The sequence below is a fragment of the Homo sapiens genome, chromosome 4 (assembly GCF_000001405.40).
Source record: "Homo sapiens chromosome 4, GRCh38.p14 Primary Assembly".
Taxonomy (NCBI): domain Eukaryota; kingdom Metazoa; phylum Chordata; class Mammalia; order Primates; family Hominidae; genus Homo; species Homo sapiens.
In genome coordinates this window covers 5752445-5774513 of record NC_000004.12, presented here as the reverse complement: position 1 = coordinate 5774513, position 22069 = coordinate 5752445, and the positions used below count along the sequence as shown (strand labels likewise).

General features: G+C 49.6%; 1 protein-coding gene across 47 annotated transcripts in view, besides 6 other annotated features; it reads right to left on the bottom strand.

The window, feature by feature from the left end:
* EVC (EvC ciliary complex subunit 1) overlaps window positions 1-22069 on the bottom strand; it is a 117857-nt gene that overhangs the window by 54544 nt on the left and 41244 nt on the right. For 45 of the 47 annotated variants that reach the window (XM_047449774.1, XM_047449769.1, XM_047449778.1 and 42 more), the window contains 3 exons: window positions 21462-21678; window positions 20581-20729; window positions 18152-18250 (listed from right to left, as the gene is read on the bottom strand). In XM_047449774.1, the coding sequence (XP_047305730.1) occupies window positions 18152-18250; window positions 20581-20729; window positions 21462-21678 (465 nt within the window). Of the gene's footprint in view, window positions 1-16202; window positions 16434-18151; window positions 18251-20580; window positions 20730-21461; window positions 21679-22069 lie in introns of those variants that run through there. The other 2 variants (NM_001306092.2, XM_017007883.3) reach the window with 2 other exon arrangements.
* Window positions 521-1262: an enhancer, noted in NCBI's record as "H3K27ac-H3K4me1 hESC enhancer chr4:5774979-5775720 (GRCh37/hg19 assembly coordinates)". NCBI's record gives its function as "activates a minimal SCP1, AML or CMV promoter by ChIP-STARR-seq in primed H9 embryonic stem cells {active_cell/tissue: H9 hESC(primed)}" and the evidence as "EXISTENCE:reporter gene assay evidence [ECO:0000049][PMID:30033119]".
* Window positions 1030-1139: an enhancer, noted in NCBI's record as "active region_21245". NCBI's record gives its function as "activates an Ori minimal core promoter by ATAC-STARR-seq in GM12878 lymphoblastoid cells {active_cell/tissue: GM12878}" and the evidence as "EXISTENCE:reporter gene assay evidence [ECO:0000049][PMID:35858748]".
* Window positions 1263-2006: an enhancer, noted in NCBI's record as "H3K27ac-H3K4me1 hESC enhancer chr4:5774235-5774978 (GRCh37/hg19 assembly coordinates)". NCBI's record gives its function as "activates a minimal SCP1, AML or CMV promoter by ChIP-STARR-seq in primed H9 embryonic stem cells {active_cell/tissue: H9 hESC(primed)}" and the evidence as "EXISTENCE:reporter gene assay evidence [ECO:0000049][PMID:30033119]".
* Window positions 14913-16112: an enhancer, noted in NCBI's record as "P300/CBP strongly-dependent group 1 enhancer chr4:5760129-5761328 (GRCh37/hg19 assembly coordinates)". NCBI's record gives its function as "activates an origin of replication core promoter dependent on BRD2, BRD4, P300/CBP, MED14 and CDK7 cofactors, with strong dependence on P300/CBP, by STARR-seq in HCT116 cells {active_cell/tissue: HCT116}" and the evidence as "EXISTENCE:reporter gene assay evidence [ECO:0000049][PMID:35650434]".
* Window positions 15195-15244: an enhancer, noted in NCBI's record as "active region_21244". NCBI's record gives its function as "activates an Ori minimal core promoter by ATAC-STARR-seq in GM12878 lymphoblastoid cells {active_cell/tissue: GM12878}" and the evidence as "EXISTENCE:reporter gene assay evidence [ECO:0000049][PMID:35858748]".
* Window positions 20615-21570: an enhancer, noted in NCBI's record as "H3K27ac-H3K4me1 hESC enhancer chr4:5754671-5755626 (GRCh37/hg19 assembly coordinates)". NCBI's record gives its function as "activates a minimal SCP1, AML or CMV promoter by ChIP-STARR-seq in primed H9 embryonic stem cells {active_cell/tissue: H9 hESC(primed)}" and the evidence as "EXISTENCE:reporter gene assay evidence [ECO:0000049][PMID:30033119]".

The following is a 22069-nucleotide window of genomic DNA, read 5'->3' as shown; positions in this document are numbered from 1 at the left end:
AGTCTTATCTGTCAAAGGGGGCTGATAATACCTGCTTTGAGGGCTGATTATGAGGATTAGAAAGGATTTATGGGGATTGGCTGGCTCACAGCACACAGCAAGCACTTAATAAATGCTAGCTAGTATCATTAGATAAAAGTTGGAGAAGTTAGTGTGTGGTTCTCAAGAAGTGTTATCCACTGCTATTGTCATTCTAGGAACAAAGCATTTGGGGGAAAAGAGGTGAGAATAATTCCCTCTGAGCAGAGGCAGTTTTTGTTTCAGTTGTTTGCAAGGCAAGCAGGAGGAGGGGAGAGATGGGAGGGAGGGAAGGAAGGAGAGGTACAAAGCCAGAAATGGGCAGGTGGCCCAGTAGGACTGAAGTATAGAGTGTTGCAGAGGCACAGGACTAGTGAGGGGGCCAACACCATACGAAGGACCCAAATACACACTGCCAAGTGATCTGGCAAACTGGACCATGGTGGGGTTCAAGAAAGGCAAGGATGTGGCCAGGGCTGAAGATGCACCAATGAAGGTTCAGAGTCCACGGAATGGATCTTTCTGGGATTCCCTGGACATGGTCTGGCCCCTGGGAGACTTTTGTTCCTCATCACAGGACCCAAGAATGTTCCCCAGGGACCCCAGCCTGATTGTTCTGAAGATGCACATTTAATGACTTCAGAGTAAAGTGTGCTCCAGTTCCCCTGACAAGTGGGTCCTGGAGAGCACAGGTGAGCTTGAGTCTCTTAAAAATGGGAAGTGGGTTGAACAAGGGGCAGGAGCTCTGGCACCTGCAGTACTGGGCCATCCACCAGAAGCATGACCATGGGCCAACTCCCTTAAAAAAGGAAGGGAGGATACCTGCATACAAACCTGCAGGGACTATGGGGGATCCCACAAAACACCCCGGCAGCTCAGCGCACCGCCTCCCAGTCTCTCTCCCGGCACCCACACCCCTTGCCACATAACTTTGCAGGGACTTCTCAAGGTGAGTGGAGAGCACTTCCCTGCCTCTGCTACACTGAGTTCAGGCACGTAACTTGCTTTGGGCGACAGAATGAGGTGGAAGTGAGGTGTGCTGCTTTGGAGGCTAGACCTCAGCTATTGCTATGAGAAGAACATGCCCAGGCTAGTCCACAGGTCTTAGGGGGAAGATGGGAGGGACATGGAGCAAGGCTGAGTCAAGTTAATCAAGCCCAGCCTAGATCAGCTAACTGCTGGCCAAGCTGCAGCCCATGAGAGCAAATCACTGTTGTTTTCAGCCCCTGGGTTTCCCGGTGTCTTGTTACACAGCATGACTGTGATCATAGTTACCTGGACAGCAGGAGATGGAGGGGGTCCTAAAAGTGAACGCTCTGGGATAAATATGTGTGTCATCCTCACAGCATGCATACGTTCATTTTGCAAATGTCTCCTGGCACCTACCGCAGGCAAGGCCCTGTGCCAGGGACACTGCGGTGACCGAGGCAGGTGTGGACCCAGACCCGAGGGAGTTCACAGCCCAACAGGGGACAGTGCACACATGCTCCCCCCAGGCTGTGGCACATGTGATGACCAGGAGGATGGAAGTCCTAAGTTAGACAGGTCTGGGGAGAGGTCAGAGGAGGGCTCCCCTAAAGAAGTGACATTTCAGCTGAGACTCAAAGAGCAAGAATGAGCTGGCTAGGCAAAGCCCAGGGAAGGGAGGAAGACAGTTTCAGGCACTGGGGTGGGAGGGACAAGTGCACCCTTGGGGGAACTGAGAGACATCTGAGGTCAGCTGGAAGTCAGGGAGCAAGGGACAGAACTTTAGGAAGGGTGATGAGTGGGCCAGGTTGTGTGGACCTCATGGGCCAGGCTGGACAGGTGGATCCTGTGGGCCAGCTTGGGTGGAAGCGTCATAGGTCAGGCCAGGAAGACCTTGTGGGTCAGGTTGGGGGCATCTTGTGGACAGGCTGGATGGGCCTCGTGGACCAAGCTAAGTGGTCATGATGGGCCAGATTAAGGATGTTGGACTTCTTCTTGAGAACAACAGGAGGCATTCTGGGGTGTTAAGTGGCTCTTTCATATGGTTAAGAACTTAAAAGGAAGGTAGCCAAGAATTCCTGGATCAGAGAGGTTAAGTGATATGGACTAGGCCACACAGCAGGTATGCAGCTGAAATGGGCCCATAACCTGGTCTGTTTGCTTCTTGAACGACTCTTCTCTCCCCCGTACCTCTTTGCAGGGAGGTAAGATGGTTGTGAAAATTACCAAAAGGAAAGAGGGGTAGCATGTGATACAAGGGCACTGTGAGTTGTACTTCTGCAAAGAAAACACATTTACCCCAGTAGTTTTACTAAATTAAAATAAAAAGCCACAGCCAGGCACGGTGGCTCACGCCTGTAATCCCAGCACTGTGGGATGCCGAGGCGGGCGGATCGCGAAGTCAGGAGATTGAGACCATCCTGGCTAACACGGTGAAACCTTGTCTCTACTAAAAATACAAAAAATTAGCTGGGCGTGGTGGCGGTGCCTGTAGTCCCAGCTACCCGGGAGGCTGAGACAGGAGAATGGCGTGAACCTGGGAGATGGAGCTTGCAGTGAGCCGAGATCATGTCACTGCACTCCAGCCTGGGCGACAGAGTGAGACGTCTCAAAATAATAATAATAATAATAAAATAAAATAAAATAAAAAGCCACATTCCGTTAGCTGGTTACTGTAAAGGGAGATATGAATCACCCAGCCTATTTTTCTCAGTCCCTGCATCCTTGGTCATGGTGTATAACCCTTTAAGCCTAATAAAGGACCATGGAAACTGCCTTGCACTCTGCAGCGCCCATGGACACCTGCTTCCCGGCGACGGGGAGGTCTGTGGTGCCCAGGCTTCTGTCATTTTCTCTCAAGATCTGCTTCCAATAGGTTACTGCCCAGAAAATCAGGGTTTTCATGGCCTTCAATAAACAAATTTATTTCTCTCTTTGGAAATGTACTGTTTTTCTCCGTGGTACACAGAATGTCTCCCTAAAGATGTCCACGTCCCAATCCCTGGAACCTTTGAGCACGGAACTTTACATGGTAAAGAGACTTCGCAGGTGGGACTGAGTTAAGGATCCTGAGATGGAAAGAAGATCCTGGATGACACTGTTGGCTCCAATGTCATCACAGGGTTCTTATAAGTGAATGAGGGAGGCAGGAGGGTCACAGTCAGAGAAGATGTAATGGTGGAAGCAGAGGCAGGAGTAGCCGGCCCTGAAGATGGAAGAAAGGGCCCTGAGCCAAGGAATGTGGGTGGCCTTTAGAAACTGGAAAAGTCAAGAAAACTGTTTCTCCCCTGGAGCCTCCAGGAGGAGTCAGCCCTGCTGACACCTTCATTTTAACCCAGAGAGATCCACATCAGACTTCTGACCTCCAGAAATGTAACATAACTTTGTGTTGCTTTAAGCCACTGAGTTTGTGGTCATTAGTTATAGTGGCTATAGAAAACTAATACCTAATATGACATCTTCAGAATGACAATTGTTTAGCTGATGCATTGATGTATTTTCTTTTCTTTTTTTTTTTGAAATGAAGTCTCGCTCTGTCACCCAGGCTGGAGTGCAATGGTGCGATCTCGTCTCACTGCAACCTCTGCCTCCCGGGTTCAACAATTCTCCTGCCTCAGCCTCCCAAGTAGCTGGGATTACAGGCACACCCCACGACACCTGGCTAATTTGTGTTATTTTTAGTAGAGATGGGGTTTTGCCATGTTGGCCGGGCTGGTCTTGAGCTCTGGACTTCAGGTGTATCTGCCCACCTCGGCCTCCCAAAGTGCTGGGATTACAGGTGTTAGCCAACACTCCCAGCCAATTCATTAATACATTAACTGATTGACTGATTTGTGTATTCATCAATATTGACTGATTGTCTAGAGTGGGTTATGCCCTGGACACAACCCCAGGGGTGGAGAAATGAGCAAGCCTCAACCCTTCCATCAAGGAGGGCACATTCCTTCTCCCTTCTTGTGTTCTCCGAATCACTACTTCCCACTAGAATGTTACGAGGCTTGGGCCTGACTCCTAGGCCCCAGCTGAGTGACCTTGAACAGACACTTTAGACTTCCAGTGCCATGCAGCACTTAATCTTGACCAAAGAGGGGTCTGGCCTGTCCTTGGCCCCTGGTATGTCACCTCTCAGCCCCTGGAATGTTTGGTCTGACTGGAGTGTCTTTGCTGACCTGGCGGCCTTGATAGTCTATGCTAACACTGTGATTTACGGCAGGGAGGCCTTAGGGCATGTGGTCTCAGCTTGACCTCTGAAGGGCTGGAGGCTCAGGGCAGCTGTGGGGGCGGAGGGTCAGCCATACCAGTGTAGCTGAGCCCAATAAAAACTCTGGACACTGAAGCCTGGGCAAGCTTCCCTGCTTGGTGACACTCTGTGTGCCTTGTCACATATTGTGGCCAGGGGGAGTAAGTGCTGCCCTCAGCTCCACCAGGAGAGGACACCCAGAAGCTCTGTGCAGAGAGCCCCCCTCGAGCCCTATGCCTCTCCCTTGGCTGACTTTAGTCTGTAGCCTTCCATTATCATCAGCCTGGCCCTGAGCACAGCAGCTGTCAGGGAGTGCTGGGAGTCCTTCTGGTGAGTTAAAGAGCCTGAGGGGGATCTTCAGGACCACCAAACTTGCATCTGACATCAGAAGAAGTGAAGGTGGTTTGGGAACTACTCTCAGACACTTCATAAGCACCTGTTATCATGCCTGTGTTCTTCAAGGACAGAGTCCAGTGTTTTCTCTTTTTCTCAGCCCTAACTTCCTGGGACAGCCTGAAGCTGAGAAGTCCCCGCATGACAGGGCTGTGATTTTACCACCTTCTCCCAGAGCCTTTCAAGAGAAACAGCTATGGGGGGACAGTCAGACAGACATCCAAATGAACAGGTGGGCTGTGTGGCCCCTGGAATGGGATGACAGCAAACTCCACCCAGAGCCCCGCTGTTATTGGGATGACACTGGCTTTGGTGCAGCAACCTGTTTGTGAGGTGCCGAGCCACAGAGCTCACGCGATCGCACAGCATCCATCCCAAGTGAACTGAAAATGGACTGTTTAGAGGCCGAGAGACAGGGGGGATTCAGAAAAATGCACTTTTCTCTGTAGCCCTGAGAACCATTAGGTTATGATATGGTTTAGCTGTGTCCCCACCTAAATCTCATCTTGAATTGTAGCTCCCATAATCCCCATGTCATGGGACTGGCCCAGTGGGAGGTAACTGAGTCACTGGGGTGGGTCTTTCCCATGCTGTTCTTGTGACAGTGGGTAAGTCTCATGAGATCTGATGGTTTTATAAAGAGGAGTTCCCCTGCACATGCTCTCTCTTGCCTGCTGCCATTTAAGATGTGACTTTGCTCCTCATTTGCCTTCCGCCATAACTGTGAGGCCTCCCCAGCCACGTGGAACTGTGAGTCTGTTAAACCTGTTTCCTTTATAAATTACTCAGTCTCGGGTATATCTTTATTACAAGTGTGAGAACAAATTAATATAGGTGACCATCAAATGTATCTCACAGCCACTGTGCCTGCAATATCATGATCAGTGTCATGCCCAAAGAAGGGGTAAAATGATGCCTCTGTGTGCCTGGGCCTGGGCACAGCCAGCCAGCCAGCAAGGCAGGGTACCTTGAGAGCCTGTTCTGTGCACACCTTTCTATATGGTGAATGATGATGAATGAGAATATTTCTTTTTTTTTTTGAGACAGAGTTTTGCTCTGTCACCAGGCTAGAGTACAGTGGTGTGATCTCGCCTCACTGCAACCTCCACCTCCTGGGTTCAAGCGATTCTCATGCCTCAGCCTCCCGAGTAGCTGGGATAACAGGCACCCACCACCACACCTGGCTAATTTTTGTATTTTTAGTAGAGATGAGGTTTCACCCTGTTGGCCAGGCTAGTCTTGAACTCTTGACCTCAAGTGATCCGCTTGCCTCAGCCTCCCAAAGTGCTGGGATCACAGGTGTGAGCCACTGTGCCCAGCCGAGAATACATTTTGAGTATCAGTGTGTGCCCAACACTCTTCTATATGCTTTACCCACGTGAGATTATTTAAACCTCTTGATATTCATATGAAGGCCTATTAGGTCTACTTTAACATAGAGGAGGTGGGATATTGATCGTCCAAACAAACACAAAGCTCCAGGCTTTCTCCCTGCCCCGTCAGTCAGCACCATCTCTTACACGGGCCACAGCAGTCTCCTACCAGGGCTCCCTGCTTCTGCCTCTGCCCCTACAGTCTGTTTTCCTCATGGAAACCACACTGGTCCTTGTAAAACATAAAGCAAGTCACTTCCCTACTCAAAACATGCTGGTGATTTCCTGTCTCACTCAGAAGTAAATGCAACTATCTTGGAACAGTCTGCAACGTCTTCCAAGATGAGGCGCTCTGGACTCATCCCCTCCTCTTCTGCCCCTTTCTCCCTACCTTCCTCCCCAGCTTCCCCACTGCCCTTACACTGGCCTCACTGCTGCTGCTGCTGCAATGCCAAGCATACACATGCTGCACAAAGCTGTGCTTAACAATACTTGAATGAATGAATGAATGAACGAATGAATGAATGAACAAACTCTCCCAAGATGCCTGGTTAGCAGACTGAGGAAGAAAAGTAAAATTCTAAGCTGCCGGTGGGGGGAGGGGCCAAGATGGCCGAATAGGAACAGCTCCGGTCTACAGCTCCCAGCGTGAGCGACGCAGAAGATGGGTGATTTCTGCATTTCCACATGAGGTACTGGGTTCATCTCACTAGGGAGTGCCAGACAGTGGGCGCAGGTCAGTGGGTGCAGCGCACCATGTGCTAGCCGAAGCAGGGCGAGGCATTGCCTCACTTGGGAAGCGCAAGGGGTCAGGGAGTTCCCTTTCCTAATCAAAGAAAGGGGTGACAGATGGCACCTGGAAAATCGGGTCACTCCCACCCGCATACTGTGCTTTTCCGACGGGCTTAAAAAACGGCTCACCAGGAGATTATATCCCACACGTGGCTCGGAGGGTCCTATGCCCAAGGAGTCTCGCTGATTGCTAGCACAGCAGTCTGAGATCAAACTGCAAGGTGGCAGCCACGCTGGGGGAGAGGCGCCCGCCATTGCCCAGGCTTCCTTAGGTAAACAAAGCAGCCTGGAAGCTGCAACTGGGTGGAGCCCACCACAGCTCAAGGAGGCCTGCCTGCCTCTGGAGGTTCCATCTCCGGGGGCAGGGCACAGACAAACAAAAAGACAGCAGTAACCTCTGCAGACTTAAATGTCCCTGTCTGACAGCTTTGAAGAGAGCAGTGGTTCTCCCAGCATGCAGCTGGAGATCTGAGAACAGGCAGACTGCTTCCTCAAGTGGGTCCCTGAACCCTGGCCCCCGAGGAGCCTAACTGGGAGGCATCCCCAGCCCAGGCAGACTGACACCTCACACAGCAGGGTACTCCAACAGACCTGCAGCTGAGGGTCCTGTCTGTTAGAAGGAAAACTAACAAACAGAAAGGACATCCACACCAAAAACCCATCTGTACATCACCATCGTCAAAGTCCAAAAGTAGATAAAACCACAAAGATGGGGAAAAAACAGAGCAGAAAAACTGGAAACTCTAAAAAGCAGAGCGCCTCTCCTCCTCCAAAGGAATGCAGTTCCTCACCAGCAACGGAACAAAGCTGGATGGAGAATGACTTTGACAAGCTGAGAGAAGGCTTCAGACGATCAAATTACTCTGAGCTACAGGAGGAAATTCAAACCAAAGGCAAAGAAGTTGAAAACTTTGAAAAAAATTTAGATGAATGTATAACTAGAATAACCAATACAGAGAAGTGCTTAAAGGAGCTGATGGAGCTGAAAACCAAGGCTCGAGAACTACGTGAAGAATGCAGAAGCCTCAGGAGCCGATGCGATCAACTGGAAGAAAGGGTATCAGCGATGGAAGATGAAGTGAATGAAATGAAGCGAGAAGGGAAGTTTAGAGAAAAAAGAATAAAAAGAAATGAGCAAAGCCTCCAAGAAATATGGGACTATGTGAAAAGACCAAATCTACGTCTGATTGGTGTACCTGAAAGTGATGGGGAGAATGGAACCAAGTTGGAAAACACTCTGCAGGATATTATCCAGGAGAACTTCCCCAATCTAGCAAGGCAGGCCAACATTCAGATTCAGGAAATACAGAGAACGCCACCAAGATACTCCTCGAGAAGAGCAACTCCAAGACACATAATTGTCAGATTCACCAAAGTTGAAATGAAGGAAAAAATGTTAAGGGCAGCCAGAGAGAAAGGTCGGGTTACCCACAAAGGGAAGCCCATCAGACTAACAGCTGATCGCTAGGCAGAAACTCTACAAGCCAGAAGAGAGTGGGGGCCAATATCCAACATTCTTAAAGAAAAGAATTTTCAACCCAGAATTTCATATCCAGCCAAACTATGCTTCATAAGTGATGGAGAAATAAAATACTTTACAGACAAGCAAATGCTGAGAGATTTTGTCACCACCAGGCCTGCCCTAAAAGAGCTCCTGAAGGAAGCGCTAAACATGGAAAGGAACAACCGGTACAAGCCGCTGCAAAATCAAGCCAAAATGTAAAGACCATCGAGACTAGGAATAAACTGCATCAACTAACGAGCAAAATAACCAGCTAACATCATAATGACAGGATCAAATTCACACATAACAATATTAACTTTAAATGTAAATGGACTAAATGCTCCAATTAAAAGACACAGACTGGCAAACTGGATGAAGAGTCAAGACCCATCAGTGTGCTGTACTCAGGAAACCCATCTCACGTGCAGACACACACATAGGCTCAAAATAAAAGGATGGAGGAAGAGCTACCAAGCAAATGGAAAACAAAAAAAGGCAGGGGTTGCAATCCTAGTCTCTGATAAAACAGACTTTAAACCAACAAAGATCAAAAGAGACAAAGAAGGCCATTACATAATGGTAAAGGGATCAATTCAACAAGAAGAGCTAACTATCCTAAATATATATGCGCCCAATACAGGAGCACCCAGATTCATAAAGCAAGTCCTGAGTAACCTCCAAAGAGACATAGACTCCCACACATTAATAATGGGAGACTTTAACACCCCACTGTCAACATTAGACAGATCAATGAGACAGAAAGTTAACAAGGATACCCAGGAATTGAACTCAGCTCTGCACCAAGCAGACCTAATAGACATCTACAGAACTCTCCACCCCAAATCAACAGAATATACATTTTTTTCAGCACCACACCACACCTATTCCAAAATTGACCACATACTTGGAAGTAATGCTCTCCTCAGCAAATGTAAAAGAATAGAATTTATAACAAACTATCTCTCAGACCACAGTGCAATCAAACTAGAACTCAGGATTAAGAGTCTCACTCAAAACCGCTCAACTACATGGAAACTGAACAACCTGCTCCTGAATGACTACTGGATACATAACAAAATGAAGGCAGAAATAAAGATGTTCTTTGAAACCAACGAGAACAAAGACACAACATACCAAAATCTCTGGGATGCATTCAAAGCAGTGTGTAGAGAGAAATTTATAGCACTAAATGCCCACAAGAGGAAGCAGGAAAGATCCAAAATTGACACCCTGACATCACAATTAAAAGAACTAGAAAAGCAAGAGCAAACACATTCAAAAGCTAGCAGGAGGCAAGAAATAACTAAAATCAGAGCAGAACTGAAGGAAATAGAGACACAAAAAACCCTTCAAAAAATTAATGAATCCAGGAGCTGGTTTTTTGAAAGGATCAACAAAATTGATAGACTGCTAGCAAGACTAATAAAGAAGAAAAGAGAGAAGAATCAAATAGACGCAATAAAAAATGATAAAGGGGATATCACCACCGATCCCACAGAAATACAAACTACCATCAGAGAATACTACAAACACCTCTACGCAAATAAACTAGAAAATCTAGAAGAAATGGATAAATTCCTCAACACATACACTCTCCCAAGACTAAACCAGGAAGAAGTTGAATCTCTGAATAGACCAATAACAGGAGCTGAAGTTGTGGCAATAATCAATAGCTTACCAACCAAAAAGAGTCCAGGACCAGATGGATTCACAGCCGAATTCTACCAGAGGTACAAGGAGGAACTGGTACCATTCCTTCTGAAACTATTCCAATCAATAGAAAAAGAGGGAATCCTCCCTAACTCATTTTATGAGGCCAGCATCATCCTGATACCAAAGCTGGGCAGAGACACAACCAAAAAAGAGAATTTTAGACCAATATCCTTGATGAACATTGATGCAAAAATCCTCAATAAAATACTGGCAAACCGAATCCAGCAGCACATCAAAAAGCTTATCCACCATGATCAAGTGGGCTTCTTCCCTGGGATGCAAGGCTGGTTCAATATACGCAAATCAATAAATGTAATCCAGCATATAAACAGAACCAAAGACAAAAACCACATGATTATCTCAATAGATGCAGAAAAGGCCTTTGACAAAATTCAACAACCCTTCATGCTAAAAACTCTCAAGAAATTAGGTATTGATGGGATGTATCTCAAAATAATAAGAGCTATCTATGACAAACCCCCAGCCAATATCACACTGAATGGGCAAAAACTGGAAGCATTCCCTTTGAAAACTGGCACAAGACAGGGATGCCCTCTCTCACCACTCCTATTCAACATAGTGTTGGAAGTTCTGGCCAGGGCAATTAGGCAGGAGAAGGAAATAAAGGGTATTCAATTAGGAAAAGAGGAAGTCAAATTGTCCCTGTTTGCAGACAACATGATTGTATATCTAGAAAACCCCATTGTCTCAGCCCAAAATCTCCTTAAGCTGATAAGCAACTTCAGCAAAGTCTCAGGATACAAAATCAATGTACAAAAATCACAAGCATTCTTATACACCAACAACAGACAAACAGAGAGCCAAATCATGAGTGAACTCCCATTCACAATTGCTTCAAAGAGAATAAAATATCTAGGAATCCTACTTACAAGGGATGTGAAGGACCTCTTCAAGGAGAACTACAAACCACTGCTCAATGAAATAAAAGAGGATACAAACAAATGGAAGAACATTCCATGCTCATGGGTAGGAAGAATCAATATCGTGAAAATGGCCATACTGCCCAAGGTAATTTATAGACTCAATGCCATCCCCATCAAGCTACCAATGACTTTCTTCACAGAATTGGAAAAAACTACTTTAAAGTTCATATGGAACCAGAAAAGAGCCCACATCGCCAAGTCAATCCTAAGCCAAAAGAACAAAGCTGGAGGCATCACGCTACCTGACTTCAAACTATACTACAAGGCTACAGTAACCAAAACAGCATGGTAATTGTACCAAAACAGATATAGATCAATGGAACAGAACAGAGCCCTCAGAAATAATGCCACATATCTACAACTATCTGATCTTTGACAAACCTGAGAAAAACAAGCAATGGGGAAAGGATTCCCTATTTAATAAATGGTGCTGGGAAAATTGGCTAGCCATATGTAGAAAGCTGAAACTGGATGCCTTCCTTACACCTTATACAAAAATCAATTCAAGATGGATTAAAGACTTAAACATTAGACCTAAAACCATAAAAACCCTAGAAGAAAACCTAGGCATTACCATTCAGGAGATAGGCATGGGCAAGGACTTCATGTCTAAAACACCAAAAGCAATGGCAACAAAAGACAAAATTGACAAATGGGATCTAATTAAACTCAAGAGCTTCTGCACAGCAAAAGAAACTACCATCAGAGTGAACAGGCAACCTACAAAATGGGAGAAAATTTTCGCAACCTACTCATGTGACAAAGGGCTAATATCCAGAATCTACAATGAACTCAAACACATTTACAAGAAAAAAACAAACAACCCCATCAAAAAGTGGGCAAAGGACATGAACAGACACTTCTCAAAAGAAGACATTTATGCAGCCAAAAAACACATGAAAAAATGCTCACCATCAATGGCCATCAGAGAAATGCAAATCAAAACCACAATGAGATACCATCTCACACCAGTCAGAATGGCAATCATTAAAAAGTCAGGAAACAACAGGTGCTGGAGAGGATGTGGAGAAATAGGAACACTTTTACACTGTTGGTGGGACTGTAAACTAGTTCAACCATTGTGGAAGTCAGTGTGGCGATTCCTCAGGGATCTAGAACTAGAAATACCATTTGACCCAGCCATCCCATTACTGGGTATATACCCAAAGGACTATAAATCATGCTGCTATAAAGACACATGCACACGTATGTTTATTGCGGCACTATTCACAATAGCAAAGACTTGGAACCAACCCAAATGTCCAACAATGATAGACTGGATTAAGAAAATGTGGCACATATACACCATGGAATACTATGCAGTCATAAAAAATGATGAGTTCATTACCTTTGTAGGGACATGGATGAAATTGGAAATCATCATTCTCAGTAAACTATCCCAAGAACAAAAAACCAAACACCGCATATTCTCACTCATAGGTGGGAATTGAACAATGAGAACTCATGGACACAGGAAGGGGAACATCACACTCTGGGGACTGATGTGGGGTGGGGGTGGGGGGAGGGATAGCACTGGGAGATATACCTAATGCTAGATGACGAGTTAGTGGGTGCAGCGCACCAGCATGGCACAGGTATACATATGTAACTAACCTGCACATTGTGCACATGTACCCTAAAACTTAAATAATAATTAAAAAAAAAAATTCTAAGCTGCCAACTGATTAACAGTTGGGGCTTCTTGGCCAATGGGACCCCAGAGAAACCTTGGAAGCTGAATTCCCGGTGCCGTAAAGGTCGGGATGAGAGGTGGAACACAACTCATTGTACCCCTTCCCTTGCTAGCCAACCACCATAAGGCTTTCTTCCCTAAGGACTAAACAGAAACCCGCCCTTTCAAAAGACTCCATGCTGATCATGTTGACGGCTGGCTTATCTTCCCAGGTACAGAACAAAGACAAGATGAGACGCCTGCTTCCTCTGTTCTCTTTTTCTTCAAATGTTCGCCTGATCTTACGTAAACTGTAGATTTACTAGGCACTAACGAAAGTCTTTCAAGTGTGTAACTGTTCCTCTCATTGCTGCCCCACCCCCCAACCACCCCCCGCCCCCCGCCTTTTTAAAGGAAAATGTATAAATATTAAACCTCCTGAGAACCTCTTTGGAAAAAACAGCCAAGTCTGTGACTTGCGTTTTTCCAGGTGCACCCTCGAGCTGGCTCAATAAACCTCGATTGATTGTGACACCTGCTTCAGTCATTCATTTTGGTGGTTGAGATTCACACCCAGGACCCTGGACCCAGATCTGGGCTCATCCCCACTGGGCTCAACATCTCCTGAGATCATGCTCCCTGTGGAGCAGGCGGGGAGGCATTCACTGAGCACCTACCATGTGCCAGGTCTGGGCCTTGGACCTGCTCTCCTCGGCACACCCAGCCTTTAAAGTAAATGGGCTCCCAGTCTCCATTGCACAGAGAAGGAAACCAGAGCTCAGAACAGTCCAGGCTCTGGCCCAAGGACGCCCAGCCAGGAGGGCGCAGCCAGCTCTCCAATCGGCAATGGAGGATTTTAGCCTGCTCCTATGGAGTATCAGGAAAAGCAGTTTCCAGTAACCAAAGGCAATGATTTCCAAATTGAGGAAATGTAAAATATGCCAGGCGACCTGGAACCTAAAAGCTTGTGATGAAATGGCAAAGTAAATCTAAGGAAATCCCTCCAGACTAATTCTGGGAGACATGCTGACACAGGCCTTGGGCCAGGCCGGGAGCGGTGGCTCACGCCTATAATCCCAGCACTTTGGGAGGCCAAGGCGAGTGGATCACCTGAGGTCAGGAGTTCGAGACCAGCCTGACCAACGTGGTGAAACCCTGCCTCTACTAAAAATACAAAATTAGCTGGGCGTGGTGGCACATGCCTGTAATTCCAGCCACTCGGGAGGCTGAGGCAGAAGAATCTCTGGAACCCAGGAGGCGGAGGTTGCAGTGAGCTGAGATCGCACCATTGCACTCCAGCCTGGGCAACTAGAGCTAAACTCTGTCTGAAAACAAAAAACAAAAAACAAAAAACACCCACACAGATGTGGAGAATTTCACACCCATCTCCACTGTGTCCCTCGACACCTTCTTATGCAGTACATTTCATATACCTCCTCCTAGGAGAGAGACTCCAGCAGGTATCACCCCTCGTCACACCTGTCACCCTCTCCTGATGTTACGTTAAAAGGCTGTCTTCACTTTCTTCACTGAAGCTCTCACAGGCCCAGCAACTAGGCCCACACAGGGAAAAACCAAATGCATAACTTCCTAAGGATGTCATTTTGGCATCATTGACAACTCTTTATTGAAACTGATGTAGTTACCAGCACCCGCTGGGGCTGGCCAGGAACTTCCGTATTGTGAAAGGAAAATATATTGGGCCCCCGAAATCACTAAGCAAAAAGGAAAACTCAAGCTGAAAACTGCTCAGGGCAAACCTGCCTCCCATCTATTCACAGTTATCTCTCTGCTCATTGAGATAAATGCAGATCTGATTGCCTCCTTTGGAAAGGATAATCAGAAACTCAAAAGAATGCAACTGTTTATCTCTTGCCTACCTGTGATTTGGAAGCCCACTTCCCGCTTGGAGTCTTCCTGTCTTTGCTTCAAGTTGTCCCACCTTTCCTGACCGAACCAATGTACTTCTTACATGTACCGATTGATGTCTCCTGTCTCCCTAAAATGTATAAAACCACGCTGTGTCCGGACCCCCTTGGGCGCGTGTCGTCAGGACGCGCCCTCCTGAGGCTGTGTCCCAGGCTCGCGCAGCCTCAACCTTGGCAAAATAAACTTTCTAAATGAACTGAGACCCGTCTCAGATGTTCTGGGTTTACATTTATATACTGCTTGGCTTACCCTTTGCAGCAATCATTGATAGGGTTTTACTCAGGCTGTCAGCCTGGTTGTGTAATTGTGAGCAAGTGATCTAACCTGTACCTCAATTTCCTTAATCTTGATGACATTCTGATGCACAGCAAGGTTTGAGAACTGCTTTAGAGAGGATGGGTGAGAATCCAATAAGCTACCATAGGGGGTGAGGAGGAGAATGCTGCTGAAACCACCCCCGCCGCCCATAGCCTCTGGGCCACCTGGGCTCACCTCCGGCAGGGGAAATAAGTGGCCCGGCTGGGAATTTGAACCCCAGATGTCTGGCTCCAGAGCCTGGGCTTCACCATTATGCTCCACAGCCCACACGTAAGGCAGGATAGGTAGTCAAGGAAGTGACCATGTCCTTGGGATGCGGCGACCAAACCATCAACACAGTAAGCCTCAGCATTTACACTGTAGTCTGGCTCTTTCAAGCAGTTATCTGCAGTAGGCAACGTCTCCTGCAGTCGGCAGGTGCACTTTGATTTTATCTGTCCTCAGACTGACCCTCTGCGCCATTATAATAGTAAAAAACACACCTTTGGACGGAGACTTAAGATGCTAATGAGACATGTGACGTATGAACAAGTGTGTACAGCTACTGTGCCTGGGCACTCAGAGGACCCGCCCCCACCGCCCTCCACAACATGCTTACTAATAATGCTTCTTCCCACGCCCTTATGAATAATCACATAAGACTCCCCAGAAAGGGAGTTTCCCCGGTAAGTCAAGGCTGTCTCATCTGCTCTGAATCATCTCCCAGGGCATCCTGTCTATTCTGCACCTAACTTTCAGAACATTCTTTCTCCTTTGCAATAAATTGCTCTGTGCTGCATCCCCTTTACTGTGGTCTCTTGTTTACATACTTTTAAACTAAAAACACAAGAAGCGAGGTTTCACAACAGCCGTCAACACTGAGCAGCATGGTTGGGGTGAGCACATCAGCACTAACATTAGAAAGCCTTTATTTTAAATCTCACCTTCCCCGCTTGCTAGCTGTGTAAAACCTGGGCAAGATACATGGGCCAGCACAGACAGGTTATGTAACCAGCCAAGGTCACACAGCATGTTAGCACTCAGAGGAAGATTAGAACTTGGTTTCCCCATGCCCAGCCAGGGATGTGAGTCTTGACTCCTCTGGGGACAAAGTTGTTCCTTTCCTGTCTGTGGGCCCCAGGGCTTTGACAAATTGAGCCCCATCCTACCCATTTCTGGAGAAAACACTTCTTCACTCCTCATCTGGGAAGGAAGGAAAATGCAGTGTCTTCCTCATGAATCTCATGAGAATTAAATAATCAAATACTCAAGAGGCACTTAAGATAGGAGCTAGCCCTGAACAAAGATCGCCTTCCGTTTAGTTTCCTGTGGCTGCCATGACAAAGCGCCGCAAACTGGGTGCATTAAGACAACGAAGTTTATTCTCTCACCGTTCCGGAGGGCATTAGTATGAAACCAAGGTGTTGGCAGAGCCTCGCCCCCTCCAAAGGCTCTGGGAGGGGCCCTTCCTGGGCTCTTCTGGCTTTTGGTGGCTGCAGGTGTTCCTCGGCTTGTGGCTGCATCACTCCAGTCCCTCCTTCTGTCTTCAAACAGCCTCCTTCCCTGTGTCTCTATGTCTTCTCATGGCCTTCTTATAAGGACACCAGCCATTAGAATTAGGGCCCACCCGAATCCAGTAGGACCTAACCAACTGTGCGATCTAACCAATTACATCTGCAAAGCCCTTATTTCCAAGTGTGGCCACATTCCGAGGTTCCAGATGGACATGACGTTTTGAAGGACACTGTTTGGACTAAATTGTGTCTCCCTCCAAAATTCTTAGGTTGAAGCCCTAACCTCCAATATCCCATGTGACTGTATTTGGAGGTAATTAAGTAATCAAATTCTTATGTTGAAGCTCTAACCTCCAATATCCCATGTGGCTGTATTTGGAGACAGGGCCTTTAAGGAGGTAATTAAGGTTAGATGAGGTCATCAGGGTGGGGCCCTAATCCCATAGAACTGGTGTCCTTATAAGAAAAGGGAGAGACCAGAGCCCTCTCTTTCATTCTCTCCCCTGCCCTTCAGTCTTCCAAGCACAGAGAAATAACCGTGTGAGGAGGCAACGGGAAGGCAGCTGTCTGCAAGCCCGGAAGAGAGGCCTCACCAGAAGTCAATCCTGTTGGCACCGTGATCTCGGGCTTCAGCCTCCAGAACCTTGAGAGAACGCTTTTCTGTTGTTTAACCCACCAGTCAGTGGTATTCACCACGGCAGCCCTAGCAGGTTAACAGAGACATGACTGACCCCAGTGCAGCTCCCATCCGGGTGAGGAGTTGCACTTCCCACCACTGCATGAGCTTCTCCCTGATGGGGATGCCCGCTGACTCCTTGTCCACTTGGGCCTGGTCTCATCCAATGCTTGGCTCAGCAATGCCTCCTACAGGCTGCTGTCCTTGACGTCACCTTCACCCAGGAGCCCCTTGCCTCTCCTCTGCACTCAGAAGCAGGGAAGCTGTCACTGGAGACAACGTGCCCTGGGGTGTTCCGAGTGCCAGCTGCTGTCTCGGGTCCCCAAACACAGTCCTCCTAGCACACCATGAAGAAGAATTATGACTGTCCCCATTTCACAGATGGGGAAACTGAGGGCTAGAGGCCAAGTGATGCTCCTGTGGTCACGCAGTGAGGAAGCGGGGAGCCAGGACACAGACCCAGGCCCTCTCCTCCTCCCAGTGCTGCCCAACACCCACTGGTTGATTCCTTCATAGCCAGGTGTCCACACTCCTGTCTTTCCAACAACTGAGGATGCTGCCTGAGGCAGGGGCTCTGTCTGGCTCAGCATGGCATCCTGTGACTCCTGCCCCTAAAGAGGGCTCAGGTGCCCTCTCCTGCTCTCTGAAAGTCACCCTGCAGGGCAAGCATGGCCAGCTTCACCTCCCCACCCCAGACCTGCACACGGTTGCACAGGGGAAAGAGGTGGTGTGGCATGTGATCTCTGACGTCCCCATTTCAGCCCAGAACCCCTTCTTCATCACCACTTTACACTGATGACACCCAGAAACCCTGGGCCTATTTCTCACCTGGGGAGAACGGATTTCCAAAGAGCTTTGCTGACAGGGATGTGTGGAGATAAGAATCCTCAGCACCCCAAAAATGGACGGTGCCTCAGAGAGGACCAAGGCCAACTGCCTCGGTTTCTGATGTGGGCAAGGAGGATCGCATGGAGGGGACACAGCCTGCGTGGATCACCGGCCAATGAGTGCGGGGTTGGACCTGAACCACCTCTGGGGTCCCCAGCCAGGAGGATGTGAGGTTCTCGCACACACACAGACCCTGGGGCTTCTCTGCTGGTCCCCACAGAGGCCATGTACCTGGCAGAGTGCAACCACAGCCTCGGTGGCTCTGACATTCTCCTCTTCCTCCAGGTCACACTGCATCAGCCTCTGCCTCTCCAGGACCTCATGAAAAGCCTGTGAGGAAAACAAGAGCTGAGTCTGGTAGAAACATGCAGGGTTTTTTTTTTTTTTTCCAGAAGGTTCTCCAACCATCCCCTGCATCTCAGGTTAGAAAGAAGGATGTTGGCACCTGTATTACACACAAGGAAACTGAGGCATGGGGCTGTCACATGGCTTTCACAGCTGATGCCAGGGTCAGCAAATCCGATTTCCAGGAAACACCACAAACCACCACGCTTTTGTTAAAGCCAGGATGAGGAGGGGCCACTGGACCACTTCTGTCACTCCTCTGTCCTGGCTGCAGCCACCCAGACATCACTTTCTGACCACCCAGGCCATGGAAGACCCACTGATGGGAACCCAGCAGGGGTGACACAGACTGGCGATTGGAGGTCAGTGCAGTCAGCAACCAGCCAGGCCCCACTGTGACCACGGGGTGGAGGCCCTTCCCTGAGGACCCCAGCAGAGCAGCAGGAGACTGGGCTAACCCGGGCATCAGCAGGGGGAGACCCAGCCAGCCCTAAACAGAGCATCAGCGAGGGGCGAGGTGGGGCAGAAGGACAGAGGAACAGACCCTTCTCAGGGAAGGGTTGCAGGAGAAAATTCCCTGTTGGGGAGATGTTTCAATGGAGTCTCTAAGGACAAGGAAGGACTCCTTGGAGGGAAGATGGGGAGCCAGGCTCAGCGAGCAGCAGCAGAGACCAGGAGGTAAACCCCCTAAGATCTTTGGTGATGCTACGGGCAGGAGGTGAGATGAGAGAGAAGGGCGGGACTGGAAAAAGGTGGGTGCTGAGTGTGTACTGGGAGCCTGGTGTCGTTCGTTCATTCTCCCACCCATTCCATCCTCCTTCATTCGCTCGTTTGCCCATTTGTCCATGTCCTGGTTCATTCAGGCACGCATGCGCTCATTCACCCTTCCCTGCCTGCGTCCCACGTGTCCTGAACGCCAGCGCTGAGGCGTTCCGAGGACTGTACCGAGGCCCTGGGACACCAAGGTCACCCAGGCACTGTCTCCACACTCTGGACTCACACTGGGCTCTGTGACATCAAGGACAGGGGCCCAGAAATATCCAAATAACGAGGAGCTGAATAGCCTTATCTTCCTCTTATTTCAAATGGGTCTCAAAGATAGAAAAACCTACCCTACCCCTTTGTGGCAAATGCAGAAGCTCCAAGTATGGGCCTGGAAGAGGCCCCCTGGGTGAGGGAGGCAGCTGGACCAGGGACCTAGAGGCCTGTCCTCTGTTCTCGGGGGACCCCTCCATTGGCTTCTCACTGCAGTGGTGCCACCACCACCAGCTTGGCCCCCAGGGAGAGCCCCTGGGCCTCTATTCTGGGCTGAGCCTGGACCCAGACATGGTGCCACCCACCCCTTGGCAGAACTGAGATGTGCTGTACCAAGTGTTGACGGAGGGCAGGCGGACCCAGGCAAACAGTGAGGCTGGGGCTGCCCCTTCCTTGGTCTCACTGAATCCTAACAATGCTGTGATATAGGTGCCATTATGCCCATTTCACAGATGTGGAAGCTGAGGGCCAGAGGGTAAGCAACATGCCCAAGGTCACCCAGCTATTTAGTGGCAGAGTCAGCACCCAAACCCAAGTGTGGCTGGCCTCAGCGCCCAATGCTTAACCAGCCTGCAAGACGGTTACGGACAAGCTGGTCCTCTCCCAGCCCCACTGCCCATTACTAGTGAAAGCAAGCAGAGCGAAACCAGAGCTCGGTGGTCTCTCTGAGAACTGGCGAGTCCAGGTCCTTAGAGCCTGCACTGGGGCCAGCTGACTCCTTTTCCTTGGAGGGTGACATCTTGCTTTTTGTCCTCCTTCAGGTCTTCTTGTCCCCTTCTCAGGCAAGACCAAGGGTACCTCTGACCTTGGCCACCTCCTGGCCCTGACCACTCAACCCCACATGCAAGGCTGGGAACTCCCTTCCTTCTCCTGGACTTGCAGCCGACCCACAAGGGCCCTGTCCCTGGGTGTGTGAGCCTGCCTTACTCTCCGGGACATGCTTGTCCCCTCTGGGCCACACATTGCTCCCTTCACGCCATTGCCACCATCTGTGTGCTCCTGCCATGCGTCTGCACTCTGCCAAGCTCTCTACGGATCCTACCCCCTCCTCTTCTCAGCAGCCCAGTGAGGGCAGCACAACTCTTATCACCAGCTTACAGTCCACTAGGACCCTAGGGATGTAGGGGCTAAGGGACTGAGATTCGGTCACTCGGCTGACACATGGGAAGTAGGCAGATAACCTCATGCCTGATGAATACCTCCGGCGTCCCGTGCTCAGTCACGGGAACAGAGCTACAACTGGCTCACCCACATGTGCAGAGGCTGGGGATGTGAGTCACCTCGAGAAACTTTTCCGGGTCAGCAGTCGGCTGGGCCTCAGCCAGGAAGCTTCTCTGTTCCTCCTCTTGGGCCAGCGTGAGTTTTGCCGTTCCCTCCACCTGGTGAGCCAGAGACGCCGTGACCAGGTCTTTGCCTCGCTGGACAAACTCTGGGATTGAAAAAAGCCACAGCATAGGAGGTGACTCTGTGAGCCAGAATTTCAGTGGGGACCCTCATGCTTTCTCCTGTCTGGAGGTTGGGGAAGCTGGTGTCGGCTGCAGAGATGGTGCCCGCCCTGCTGGTGACACACCTGGGTTTTTCTGTAGGTCCCACTAGTAGTGTGACCTCAGCTAAGCCCAGATGCCTCCACGTCTTGAGCCTTGCCCCACCCCCACCCCAGGGTCAGCCTTGGGGCAGGAGCATGTGTGGGACACATGCACGGCTCCCCTTCCTGCCCCACATGCTGGACCATGGCCCACCCTCACCCACTCTGCCGCTGAGCAGGGCCACATGACTCCAGCATGACCATGAGCTGCCGCTGGGCGACAGGGACCACTTTGTGTAAATTTCTAGTGAGACCCTTCACCCTCCTCTGTCCCTCTGCAGTTCCTGGTGGCTTTGCTGCAGGACGTGGGGACTCAATCAGCCGGAATCCCTGGTGAGTGAGTGCAGCAGGTGACCCCTGCCCTGGGCAGTGGCCCTCATGGACTCTGCTGTACAGAGAAGGGAAGAGAGCCCCAGAGAGCAGCCCAGTGACCCAGTCCCTAGGGCAGAAGCAGAAAGGCAGCCTGTGCCCGGCATCATGGGCACACTGCCCCAGGCTGCCAGCCCTCTCACTGCACAGCCCCAGGGACCCAGAAGGCCAGTGTTGTGGACGGCGGCACCCATGCCCACGGCTCACCCCGGCTGAAGCGCTCTGCCTCCTGCCAGAAGGCCTTGTGCTGCTGCGTGAGCAGCTCCTCCTTCTGCCGCCCGGACAGCTTCCCCTCACCAGCCAGCAGCTCCAGGCCGTGGGAGATGGCAGCCAGCCGGCACCTGGTCTCCTCCTGGACTTGCAGCTTCAGAAACTCAATCACTTTTGCCATGTGCGCCCGCCCCATCGTCCTCTCCAGGGCGTCCTGCAAAAAGAAACACACAGGACCATAGCTGGGGTGTCCTGGGAACCACCAGGGCATGTTAATTAACAGCTGAGAAGAAGCCACCAGGGTCATTAACTAATGGCACTGCCTGGGAGAGCGGAGCTCAGAGGGATGAACTCCCCCTCTCCTTCATGAGCGAGATCTGCGTCTGCCCCCGAGGTGGGGATTAAGTGTCTCTCCTAGGGTGCGGGGAGGCTGACGCAGCTTAGCATGTAGGCACTTAGTCACCAGTAGCGCTCCCCAGAGGGCCACCCTCCTAGGAGGGAATCCAGATTTACAAACGGTCAAGGAGGAAAAGCCACCTGGCTTATAGTCATCTCCCCCGGCCAATCTGGCCCTGTGGCCCCCACAGGGCTGTGGAGGAAATGCA